This window comes from Homo sapiens, chromosome 8 (assembly GCF_000001405.40).
Source record: "Homo sapiens chromosome 8, GRCh38.p14 Primary Assembly".
Classification (NCBI taxonomy): Eukaryota; Metazoa; Chordata; class Mammalia; order Primates; family Hominidae; genus Homo; species Homo sapiens.
Window position 1 is genome coordinate 28,446,201 of NC_000008.11, and position 13,765 is coordinate 28,459,965.

General features: G+C 41.1%; 1 protein-coding gene across 2 annotated transcripts in view; it reads right to left on the reverse strand.

Moving 5' to 3' along the window:
* Nucleotides 1-13,765, reverse strand: part of FBXO16 (F-box protein 16) — a 61,818-nt gene that overhangs the window by 17,789 nt on the left and 30,264 nt on the right. For both annotated transcript variants that reach the window (NM_001258211.2, NM_172366.4), the window contains 3 exons: nt 10,566-10,730; nt 6,044-6,276; nt 971-1,073 (listed from right to left, as the gene is read on the reverse strand). In NM_001258211.2, the coding sequence (NP_001245140.1) occupies nt 971-1,073; nt 6,044-6,276; nt 10,566-10,730 (501 nt within the window). The remainder of the gene's footprint in view (nt 1-970; nt 1,074-6,043; nt 6,277-10,565; nt 10,731-13,765) is intronic.

Sequence of the window (13,765 nt, forward strand, 5' to 3'; positions counted from 1 at the left end):
AGACAGAGTCTCACGCTGTTGCCCAGCCTGGAGTGCAGTGGTGCGACCTTGGCTGACTATAACCTTTGCTTCCTAGGTTCAAACCATCCTCCTGCCTCCCCCGCACCCGCCATAGGCATGTGCCACCACGCCCAGCTAATTTTTGTATTGTTAGTGGAGACAGGGTTCCGCCATGCTGCCCAGGCTGCGCTCGAATCCCTGACCTCAAGTGATCCTCCTGCCTCAGCCTCCCAAAGTACTGGGATTACAGGCGTGAGCCACCATGCCTGGCCTAAATGCACTTAGATGAGGAGAACCTTCACTTACAGACAGCAATTTCTGATAGCACCTCCCCCTGCCCCAAAGGACTCAGCAGAAGAAAGAACCACTGATAAAAAAATACTCCCCTTGGCCAGGCGCGGTGGCTCATGCTTGTAATCCCAGCACTTTGGGAGGCCGAGGCAGGTGGATCACCTGAGGTCAAGAGTTGGAGACCAGTCTGGTCAACATGGAGAAACCCCGTCTCTACTAAAAATACAAAAATTAGCTGGGCATGGTGGTGGCACCTGTAATCCCAGCTACTTGGGAGGCTGAGGCAGGAGAATCACTTGAACCCCAGGAGGCGGAGGTTGCAGTGAGTCGAAATCATGCCATTGCACTCCAGCCAGGAAGACAAGAACAAGACTCTGTCTTAAACAAACAAACAAAAAAACTCCCCTTATATCATACAGTTTTCAAAGCAATTTCATACACATCAGTTCATCCAGTCTTTTTCTTTTTTTAACAGATGAGAAAACAGAGGCTCAGAGAGATTAAATAAAGTGTATCTTCAAGGTCATGGCTTCTCTGCCAGTCAGTGTCAGAAACCCGAATTTAAATCACCACTCCATGATTCTGATTAAATAAATGAATTCAATTTTGCAAATAGGATTAGAGATCTGGAGATTTTCATTAATGTTATGGTGATGAATCTTTCATAAACAATACTTACCATTGATTGTGCTTTTCTTAGCCTAGTTCTGTCCTGCAATTTATTTTTCTTATCATGTGACTGTCGGCTGAAGTCTGGGGTCATTTGGTTTCTTTTTCTTCTTCTGTAAATTGGAAAGCAGTGGGAAAATTACAAAGTATCTTTTTAAAACTCAGGTGGTTTGCATAGCTATTTGTCTGTTTGAGTTTGTTGTTCCTGTGATTTAAAAGATTGTCTCCACTTAACTGGAAATAAGCCAAATGTCTATCAATAGAGAACTGGTTGCATCAACTCCTGCATCTCCACACAATGCAGTACTATGAGCTGCAAATGGAAAGCAGGATGTTTCTATATTCAACTGTGGAAGGATCTCCAGGATATACTGTTACATTAAGAAAGAAGGGTGGATGAGACGGTATGTACTGGGTGCTGCCATTCCTTTCAAGAAGAAGGTATTAAGATCTCTGCCTCTATATATTGTGCATATGTATTTACTTGTACTTTTTAAAATGGAAGGAGTATGGCCAGATGGGGTGGCTCACGCCTGTAATCCCAGCACTTTGGGAGGCCAAGGCGGGTGGATCACCTGAGGTCAGGGGTTCGAGACCAGCCTGGCCAACATGGTGAAACCCCATCTCTACTAAAAATACAAAAATTAGCCAGGCGTGGTGGCACACACCTGTAGTCCCAGCTACTTGGGAGGCTGAGGCAGGAGAATCACTCGAACCCAGGAAGTAGAGGTTGTAGTGAGCCAAGATCACACCACTGCACTCCAGCCTGGGCGACAGAGTGAGACTCCGTCTCAAAAAAATAATAATAAAATAAAATGGAAAGATTAAACCATAAAATGAAAAATAGTTACCTGTAAGTAGGATTCCCATGTGAACTGATCAAAAACAGGGAATGTGAGCTGGGCACGGTGACTCATGCCCGTAACCCCAGCTTTTTGGAAAGGCGAGAGGGAAGGATAACTTGAGTCCAGGAGTTTGAGACCCACCTGGGCAACATGGTGAGACCCTATCTCTACAAAAGATTAAAAAATTTAGCTGGGCATGGTGGTGCATGCCTGTAGTTCCAGCTACTCAGGAGGCTGAGGTGGGAGGATCGCTTGAGCCCTGGAGGTCCAAGCTGCAGTGAGCCATGACTGTGCTACCGCACTCTAGCCTGGGCAACAGAGTGAGACCCTAAATCAAAAAAAAAAAAAAAAAAAAGAAAGAAAGAAAGAAAAGAAAAAAAAGGAACAGGTAATATGGAGGAACAGGAACCAAAAGTTAGATTTCTCCAAGTATAGCTTATTTTGTATATTTAATTTTGGAATCATCTAAATTTTTCTCAAAATCATAAAACAAAATGAAGTGAAAAATACCTAAAATCTGAAAAGCAAAATGAAACAAATATATATCTATTGAGTTGGTGGCATTACTACACACAAAGGAGTTACTTCATGTGAATTTAATGCAGTAATTTGTCTGAATATTCTTGATAGAATATATCTGAGAGATAAAAACACAGACAGGGAAGTCAAACTGTTTTCAGTAATCATACCACTTGCTTTAATGTTAGCATTTCTTTTCTAAAACTCCTGTATGTATTACGATAAAGCAAGGATCCTCCAACCACAGTCACAGGCTCAATCCAGCCTGCTGCCTATTTCTGTAAATAAAGTTTTATTGGAACATAGTCATGCTTATTTCTTGCACATGGTCTATTACTATATTCAGGCTACAATGGCAGAGTTGAGCAGCTGTGACAGAGACCATATGCCCTGCAAAGACTAAAATATTTCCTGCCTTGCCATTTACAGGAAAAGTTTGCCTGATGTAATGGATCTAGGCGATGAGTATCCATGGCTACCAACACGAGACAGACAACCAGAAATGATGTGCGTTGTGACGGAAGTACATATCCCTGTTCAGTATATACGTAAGCCTCTAGGTCTGACTGTCAGTATAACCAGGTACGGGGGACAGAAGAACCTGTTAAGATGCATGTGGGCGGTGCAATCCACAAAATCCAGAATGTGAGAAGCTCTCTGGGATAAATGATCTGATAGTTATAACAAACAAATTGCAAGGAAAAAAAAGGACAGAGGGGAAATCTATGGACAAAACAGAAGAAAAGAAAATGCTGAAGTGACATGTAGATCGAATGCAATATGTAGACTTCTTTTTTTTTTTTTTTTTTTTTTTTGAGACAGGGTCTTGCTCTGTCACCCAGGCTGGAGTGCAGTGGCACAACCATGGCTCATTGCAGCCTCCACTTCCTGGGCTCAAGCAATCTTCCCATTTCAACCTCCTGAGTAGCTGGGACTACAGGCATGCAACATCACATTTGGCTAATTTTATTTTATTTTTATAGAGACAGGTTCTTGCTATGTTGCCCAGACTGGTCTCAAACTCCTAGACTCAGGTGATACTTCTGCCTCAGCCACCCAGAGTTCTGGGATTACAGGTGTTTGCCACCACACCTGGCCTGATCTTCTTGGGAGTTCACTCCAACCTCTCAGCTCAGCTCCCTTGGCCCAATAAAGAAGGGTGATACGGGTCAGGTGCGGTGGCTCATGCCTGTAATCCCAGCACTTTGGGAGGCTGAGGTGTGAGGATCATGAGGTTAGGAGTTCGAGACCAGCCTGGCCAACATGGTGAAACCTCGTCCCTACTAAAAATACAAAAATTAGCTGGGCGTGGTGGTGCGTGCCTGTACTCCTGGCTACTAGGGAGGCTGAGGCAGGAGAATGGCTTGAATCCAGGAGGCAGAGGTTGCAGTGAGCCGAGATCATGCCACTGCACTCCAGCCTGGGTGACAGAGCAAGACTGTCTCAAAAAAAAAAGAAAAAAAAAAAAAAAGAAGGGCGATTTGCATAAACGTCCCAAAAGAAGATCAAAATTGGGGGACTCCCACTTTCTGGTTTTAAAATGTACTACAGAGCTACAATAATCAAAACAGTGTCATACTGGTGTAAAGACCAATATAGAGACCAATAGAATAGAATAAGGAGCCCAGAGTTAAAACCCTCACATATATGGTCTATTGACTTTCAACAAGGGTGTCAAGACTATTCAGTGGGGCAAAGGACAGTCTTTTCAACAATGGTGCTGGGGAAACGGGATATCTACATGCAAAACAATGAAGTTGGACCCCAACTTTATACCATATGCAAAAATTAACTCAAAATGGGTCAAAGACCTAAACTGCAGAACTAAAATCACAAAACTCTTAGAAGAAAATATACAGGAAAATTGCCGTGACATTGGATTTGGCAATGATTTCTTGGATGTGACACCAAAAATTTAGACAAATTGGACTTCATCAAAATTGAAAACTTTTGTGCTCTAAAAGATGCTATCAAGAGAGTGAATGTCTCGGGTGTCAGGTCTACTTGGGGAAATGAGCTTCAGGGTTGCTCCGTTTCATTTGTTTAATCTTTGCACTATCTCTTGATTTTTCTGTCACCAACCTGACTCCAGCTCAGTCTCTCTGGCTTGCTCCATTCCCAGGACTCTGATCTCAATTATGTGCCTCTGAAATTGGACCTCTGTGGAGTAATACCTCAGCCTTTCTTGTACCTATGTGCTGGTTTGTACTGGGCTGGCACTGTCCATGATGCCAGCAGTAGGCACCAAAACTTATGAAGACCTAACAACTAGCCAGGCACGGTGGCTCATGCCTGTAATCCCAGCACTTTCGGAGGGCGAAGTGAGAGGATCACTTGAGTCTGATCGCTTGAGTCTGGGAGTTAGAGACCAGCCTGGGCAACATAATGAGACCCCGTTCTACAAAAAATAAAAATAATAATTTTTTAAAAGGCTTAGCAATTTTTAAAAAATGCCTAAATCCTTGACAGATCCAGTCCAATGGTCCTTGATTTGTGTTTCATTCATCTTAGAAGTGAAAGGTAATGTCCTTTACTAAGGGAAACATTTAAGCGAGAAAGAGGCACCTCCATCCCCGCACTCACCCAGACTTCTTTCAAGTACAATATTTTAATAAACAACAAAGGAGCTCCACCAGGAAACCCCAAAGATCCAAGGCTGTTTCACATATTCTGCATCTCTGGGGAGAGCTGAAGAGTCACTTTCAGCTTAAGATATTGTACTAGAGCCCTATTGGCTCCTGACAGGATGTTTTTAGGTTTGAAAGATACTCATGAAGAGATTTCTGGTGTGTTTGTCAAAGAACCAAAAATCTTTTTTCTTTGTTTTCTTTCTCTCTTTCTGTCTCTTTGTTGTTGTTTTTTTTTTTTTTGTTTTTTGTTTTTTGAGATAGGGTCTAGCTATATTGCACAGGCTGGTCTCAAACTTCTGGGCTCAAGTGATCCTCCTGCCTCGGCCTCCCAAAGTGCCATGATTACCGACACATGCCACCTTACTCAGCTTTACTTTCGGAATGTATTTATAAGTAAATATTTTATATATATATATTACAATCAGTAAATCTAATGAGTGTCAGGTTTCTTACCATCAGAAAAGGGAGTCACAAATACAGAAAGAATAAAGGCTAGAATGAACCCTTTGGTGCTGGACTGCAATTTAATATTAAAATATTAGAAGAGGCCAGGCACAGTTGCTCATGCCTGTAATCCCAGCACTTTAGGAGGCCGAGGCATGTGGATCACCTGAGGTCAGGAGTTCAAGACCAGCCTGGTCAACATGGTGAAACCCCTGTCTCTACTAAAAATACAAAAATTAGCTGGGCATCGTGGCGGTCGCCTGTAGCCCCAGCTACTTGGTAGGCTGAAGCAGGAGAATCGCTTGAACCCGGGAGGTGGAGGTTGCAGTGAGCTGAGATTGCACCACTGCACTCCAGCCTGGGTGAGTGTCAGAGCAAGACTCCAGACTACGTCTCAAAAAAAAAAAAAAAAAAAATTAGAAGAAGCAATGTTAAATCATTACTATTACAAAATGCAAACAAACTGTAACCAATAGAGCAAATTTGCTAGTAATGGTCAGTATCCTGCTCTATTACTTTTTGCTTCTATGTACTGAAAAGCTTTTGTATTTCACAGTAAGTTCTATTTCCATCTCTTCGTATACTGAAATGCCAATAAATTATTTCTAAAAACGAAGAAGTTGAGAAGAGCATGGAGCTTCTTACCCTTGCTGGACAGTCTCCATGGGGTCACGGTTGTCTAGGTAATTAAAACGAATGATATCTGTTGGGTGCTTATCAGAAGATCGCCAGGGTGGAAGTGCTTTCTCCCCTGAGTTATTCTTCTTTCTTAAAGAGGAAGAGGACCGAAAAGCTGATAAAGGGGACTGTTTTTCCTCTGGAGAATTGCTTGTAACTAGTTGAACGTCAGCGATTACAAATCCATCCTTTGGGGGTGTCTAGAAGAAGAAAGTTAATTATGTTCTCAAAACACTATAATACGCTGGGTGCGGTGGCTCACGCCTGTAATCCCAGCACTTTGGGAGGCCAAGGCAGGCGGATCACCTGAGGTCAGAAGTTCGAGACCAGCCTGGCCAACATGGTGAAACCCCGTCTCTACTAAAAATACAAAAATTAGCCGGGTGTGGTGGCGGGCACCTGTAGTCCCAGCTATTCGTGAGGCTGAGGCAGGAGAATCACTTAAACCTGGAAGGCGGAGGTTGCAGTGAGCCAAGATGGTGCCTTTGCGCTCCAGGCTGGGTGACAAGAGCGAGACTCCATCTCAAAAAACAAAACAAAACAAAACAAACAAACAAAAAAACCACACACTATAATAATAATAACAACAACAAAACAAAGAATATATTGATGTGAGTTGGCTGAAGGATAAAAAAATAAAAAAAAAGAAAAAAAGGAATATCATCATCATCATCATTGCCATCATCATCACCATCACCAATGTCATCATCGTCATCATCACGATCACCATTACCATGGTGATAATGATTATAGCAGCCACCACTCCAGGAGTACTTGCCATGTTGCAGTCACTGTCTGAGGCAGTTTTCATGCATTATATTGTTTAACCTTCACAATAACTCTATAAGGTAATCATTACTACTTCCATTTTGCAGAAGAGGAAATAGAATATAGGAGAAACTAATTAATTTGCCCACTACTACAAAAGTAGTAAGTTGGAGGGCCAGAATTTGAATACAGGACTGTCTTGCTTCAAGCCCACACATAAGACCTCCCTATCCTACTCTTGTACTCTGCCATTGTCTAGTTTGTCACAACTGCAGCTAATTTATTCATAAAAAGTACACATTCCCCCAAAAAAGTACTCCAGCTCTCATGACTTCTAACACATAGAAACAACTTTGAGTTGCAGAGAGGTAGACTAGAAATTTTATCAATTATCAAAACCTCAACCACTCCCAAAGAATACTTTGCTTTAATCTCCAAAACTGAAAGCCTGTCTTGTGTGTGTGAAATTCATAACGTTTTTATGTGGTTGTAGCCTAAGGAAAGTACTACTGGTATGTTGAGAAGCCATTAAGGGCTTAATTTTTGTTAATTAAGAGATTAGGGAAGCTTTGCTTGGTAAATCAGTTTGCTTCCATTGCTGGTGAAAATCAAGAAATTCCCCAGTTCCCCCAAGCATAATCAGTTAGTTTCTCACCCTTGTTTCAACAGCTCTTTGTATACAATTCTATTACAGGATAACGCTTAGTACTCAGTGTTGTAATTATTTGTTTATTTGTCTACGTCCTGGGCTACTAGACTAGGCTCTGTGAAAGCAGGGTTGGGATCTTTCTATGTTTAGCAATTAGCTCACAACAGTGTTTAATAAATATTTATTCAGGCCAGGCGTGGTGGCTCACGCCTATAATCCCAGCACTTTGGGAGGCCGAGGAGGGTGGATCACATGAGGTCAGGAGTTCGAGACCAGTCTGGCCAACATGGTGAAACCCCGTCTCTACGGAAAATACAAAAAAATTAGCCAGGTGTGGTGGCGCATGCCTGTAATCCCAGCTACTTGGGAGGCTGAGGCAGGAGAATCACTTGAACTCCGGAGGCAGAGGTTGCAGTGAGCTGAGATTGTGCCACTGCACTCCAGCCTGGGCGACAGAGTGAAATTTATTTATTCAATGAATGACTGTAACCTAGAAGCAGATTAAGAAGACATTTCATATTTACATAATTGATAGCTCATTATTGGTTTAGTATTCAGTATTTTGTGCAAGTCTCATTTAGAATGGACATTCATTTCATTTCCCTGAGCTTCTATTGAATTAAATCTGTTGTTGCTGGAAGAGGTCTAGTTTAATACTGCTGGGAATAAATAACATATGATAATAAAAAATAACTTCAGGGGGAAATTTTAGGCATAAATGCTAGTAGTTATATGTAAAAAATCATTAATTCTGGCCGGGCGCGGTGGCTGAAGCCTGTAATCCCAGCACTTTGGGAGGCCGAGGCGGGCGGATCACGAGGTCAGAAGATCGAGACCATCCTGGCTAACATGGTGAAACCCCATCTCTACTAAAAATACAAAAAATTAGCCGGGCATGGTGGCAGGCGCCTGTAGTCCCAGCTACTCAGGAGGCTGAGGAAGGAGAATGGCGTGAGCCCGGGAGGCGGAGCTTGCAGTGAGCCGAGATGGCGCCACTGCACTCCAGCCTGGGCGACAGAGCAAGACTCCGTCTTAAAAAAAAAAAAAAAAAAAAAAAAGGATCATTAATTCTATATAGTACAAAATGCTTACACTTTAACAAAATAGGTAATAGTGAAATCTGTGATAACTTATTTGTATTAAGTAAACAAAATTTTTGTTCACATCACCTGAAGTCTTTTTGAGAATTTTCCTAATCATGAATAGATGTTGAATTTTGTTAAATGCTTTTGTTTGGATATATTGAAGTGATCATATATCTTTTCTCTCTTTAAAAAAAATATGGAATGCTTCATGAATTTGCAAGTCTTCTCTGCATCATTCCAATTTTAGTATATGTGCTACTGAAACATGCACTTTTTTCTCTTTTATTTCATGAATTACATTGATTTTTTTTTTTTTTGAGACAGTCTTGCTCTATCGCCCAGGATGTAGTGCAGTGGCTTGATCTCGGCTCACTGCAACCTCCACCTCCTGGGTTCAAGTGATCCTCCTGCCTCAGCCTCCTGAGTAGCTGGGATTACAGGTGCATGCCACCATGCTCAGCTAATTTTTTTTTTTTTTTGAGACAGAGTATTGCTCTGTCACCCAGGCTGGAGTGTGGCACAATCACAGCTCACTGCAGCCTCAACCTTCTGAGCTCAAGTGATCCTCCCAACTCAGCCTCCCAAGTAGCTGGAACTGCAAGAGTGTGCTACTGCACCCAGCTAATTTTTAAATTTTCTGTAGAGACAGGGTCTTCCTATGTTATACGAGCTGGTCTCAAACTCCTGGCCTCAAGCAATCCTCCCGCCATGGCCTCCCAAAGTGCTGGGATGATAGGCATAAACCACTGTGCCTGGCCCCAAAGTCAGTTACATATATAAAACTCACAACTTCTTTTCATTTTACTAGTTGGTTAATCACTTTTCTCTCTTCTGCCCCTGAACAGCCTGAGCTTCAGCTATTGCTCCCTAACTGAGAATGAGATGCAAGAGAAGTCTCACTAGGAAAGGAGTCAGAGCTACGGGAATTTTCAAGAGAACTTTAAAAATTCTTCACTTAAAACTCTCTTTTTAAAAGAAATCCTCGTGGAGCATACCAACTACTGAAATCAGAAAGACTTTTATCATTGCAATTGTAACAATATTAATTATGCATAGTTTATTACTGTATTAAGTGTAGGTGGAATCTATTTCAAGAAAACACAATAAAGCCTAAACCAAAATAAGCAAGCTAGGAGTCGACTGTTCATATTTCAAAAGGATTCTCCAATTTTAACAGGATTCATTGCTGTTTTTTTCACAAGCTTTAATACCCCTGTGGTTTTAAAAAAATCATTTTAAAAATTTAATTTACACATAATTTTTCAGGAACTCATCTATTGTATGAAATGATGCACAACTCTGCATGTGTATAGATAATGCTATAAACAAAGGGCTCATAAAATTTTCCCATAAATTATCTCATTAGCTGGGACTATACGAATGAATATAAGCATTGGTTAGAATGCCTAAGAAGCCACTAGAAAAAAAAAATTCTTGCATTATTTACTTTTTATGAATATATGTAAGTGCTCTACATTGCTTAGTTCCTAGCAAAAACTAAGAACTCTAATATGCCCATGAGGCCCTTCCCTGATGACTCATTTATTAGAAAACTTTTCCTTATAAACGATACAAAAATAAACTTCAGCTCACCTGGTAGAATCACAGAAAATTTGAATTAGTAAAGTAAAACTTGAAGACCCATAGGTAACAAATACTTCATGTTACCCACAGAGTCCCCATGTCAGAACTGTCTGATGTCACTGTCAGAGACACAGAAACCAGGGACCTAGACAGAGAAAGAAGTTCCATGGTCCTAACCGCCGGGATGCAACTGTGGTTTGGGAGTGGCAAATGAGGGCTCTCAACTAACATGAATGTCTTGAAAACAACTATCAAGTCTCAGAAAAGGAGAATTTTGAAATCATAGTATATGTCCTTTGAACTACCTCCCTTCCCCAACTTCCAGTCTGATCCTTTATTCTTAGTTCTAGAATTTGCAAAGAGCCAATGTTTGCAAGCTTGTGGCTTTCTGTCTAAAATTCACCTTAGGCTTGGTAATATGAAGTTCTTTCACCATTTGAATATAGTGCTTCTTCCAGATCCCCTGCTCAAAGGGAGTTGGAGAGAAATTGATGTACCAGTTAAACCGTAAACATTTCAGCATCCAGAGCTGGTCCAGCTCAGCAAGGTTCTTCCAATGCCAGCACACCTGGAAAAACAATTACAATTAAACAAAACCAAATCAAACAACCCCTTCAGTTTACATGCCCACTTTCTCTAGGTTTTGAGCTGTCATCCTGGACCTGAGAAAACTTTTTTGTCCTTTGCCTCCAAACCATAGCTTAAATGGTTACCTCCTACCTGAAGTGTTTCCTACCCAGGCAGATTTAAAGTAAAGTAGCATTTGCTTTAAATGCTAATTCAGATTTAGAATCAGAGTCAATTAACATTTATGGAGCACCTATTAATTATCTTCATAGCAACCTAGGGAGGTAAGTACAATTATTACTCTCATATTGTAAATGAGGAAATTGAGGCTCAGATAGACTTCGGAACTTTCTAGAGGTTTCTGAAGGTCATATAAAAGTTGTATAAGGATTATATAAACTCAGGTCTGCACTTTTTTTATTCTTTTCATGGTGTGCTTCCTTTTCCCTTGTGTATTTGTCCATTTTCACGTTGCTGATAAAGACATACCTGAGACTGGGTAATTTATAAAGAGAAAGACGTTTAATGGACTCACAGTTCCATGTGGCTGGGGAGGCCTCACAATCATGGTGGAAGGGGAAAGGCATGTCTTACATGGTGGCAGGCAAGAGAGAATGAAAGCCAAGCAAAAGGGGAAACCCTTTATAAAACTATCAGATCTCATAAGAATGACTCACTACCATGAGAACAGTATGGGGGAAACCACCCCCATGGTTCAATTTTCTCCCATTGATTCCCTCCCACAACACTTGGGCATTATGGGAGCATCAATTCAAGAAGAGACATAGGTGGGGACATAGCCCAACCATATCACCTCCATTCTTTCAATTTCACTAAATATAAATTTTATAAATGGAATATAATCACTGATACTATGTGATGTATAGAGCCTTTAGGATTCTACAAAGCATAAAGCACTTATTATGTACATACCAGTTCCACAGCATTATGGCTAATCCCACCCATCCAGCAAATGGCAGAGATGGCCCTACTATGTGTAGCAATATTTATAATAATTTACCCAAGGGTTTGAATAAGTCTTGCCAGAAACTAGGATCAAGTTCACATATAAAGCTGAAACTAAGGATTCAGTGTCTTAGTTGTAAGAGTTGCAAAGATGACATACAACCTTCAAGCCCAAATTTCACCCTTAGAAAACTGGCCTCTTTTTCAAGATCAATTAAATAATTAATAATTTTTGAGTGCCCCCTCACCCCCAAAAGGGGAACACTCTGTAATGGCCCTTGCTATCCATACACCTATTTTTCTATTACTCTCTGCCTCCCTCCTTCCACCCACCATTTATTGAGTTCCTACTATGTTTGTTTTATGTGCAGAAGATGAGATGTTGAGGAAAGAGTAGGGCACAATTAGAAGAAATAATAGATTCAGGAAAGGTTAGGGAAGGAGGAAAAAGTTTAGAGGATTTGATACAGCCCTGCAGGCAGCAACAGAAATCACATTTAGTTTGTTTGACCCAGAAACGAAACAACACCCACCTCATCTCCACATGGTAAATTAGCTCAGAATTCAATGGAGAGATGGAGTTTTTGGGAAAGGGAAGGGGGAGAAAAGTCTCTCAATTCTCATTCCTTTTCTCCTCTTCTTCTTCTTCTTTTTTTTTTTTTTTTTTTTTTTTTGAGACAGAGTTTTGCCCTTGTTGCCCAGGCTGGAGTGCAGTGGTGCGATCTTGGCTCACTACAACCTCCGCCTCCCGGGATCAAGCGATTCTCCTGCCTCAGCCTCCCGAGTAGCTGGGATTACAGGCATGCGCCACTATGCCCATCTAATTCTGTATTTTTAGTAGAGACAGGGTTTCTCCTCTTCTTTAGATCACGTTTTGACCTGAGTACTTAAGTTGTTCTTCTTCCCAAGGCAAATACAGTTTTTGTTTTTTGTGTTTTTGTGTTATTTTGTTTGTTTAAAGGTAGAGAGGAATGAAGAGAATTGAAAGGTAAGTAAGAGCTTTCAAATTTACAAGACACAATTCCTCCACAACCTTCCATCTTTTTAAAACAGCAATGACTTTATATGTTTTACTTTAAATCTGGCTGAAGAATGATGGTCTGTGTCTTGCCCATGGTCAGTAGTGAGAAGAAATTATGACTTATAGTGCATGCAGATGATAGAATTAGCTATTTCAAATAACATTTCCCTCTAATAATAATATTATCCTTGTGGAAAATGAAAAATTCTGAGAAGTTTAACCCATGACCCCGTAAATCAGAGATGACCATTATTGACAACCTGGTAGAGTTCTTTTCCTTTCAGTTTTTATTTGAAGTATATACAAAAGAAAATTGGGAAACTCTATATATAACTTAAAATCTTTCTTTATTTTAAATATTATAGTATCTCTGTTCTTCCAAAACATGTTTACTAATGGTTGCATAATAATGCATCATAGGCTGGGCGCAGTGGCTCACGCTTGTAATCCCAGCACTTTGAGAGGCCAAGGCGAGTGGATCACCCGAGGCCAGGAGTTCCAGACCTGTCTGGCCAACATGGCGAAACCCCGTCTTTCCTAAAAATACAAAAATTAGCTGGGCGTGGTGACATGCGCCTGTAATCCCAGCTACTCGGGAGGCTGAGGCAAGAGAATTGCTTGAACCCGGGGTGGGCGGAGGTTGCAGTGAGCCGAGATCGAGCCATTGCACTCCAGCCTGGGCGACAAGAGCGAGACCCTGTCTCAAAAATAATAATAATAATAATAATAATAATAATAATAATAATAATAATGCATCATATATGGCTATTTGATACCCTCTTATTACTAGGCATCCAGATTGCTATGTTCTTTTAAAAAATCATTTCAGGCCAGGTGTGGTGGCTCATGCCTGTAATCCCAGCACTCTGGGAGGCCAAGGTGAGCAGATCACTTGAGGTCAAGAGTTTGAGACCAGCCTGGCCAACATGGTGAAACCCTGTCTCTAGTAAAAGTACAAAAATTAGCCAGACATGGTGGCGCATGCTGTAATCTCAGCTACTCGAGATTCTGAGGCAAGAGAATCTCTTGAACCCGGGAGGCGGAGGTTG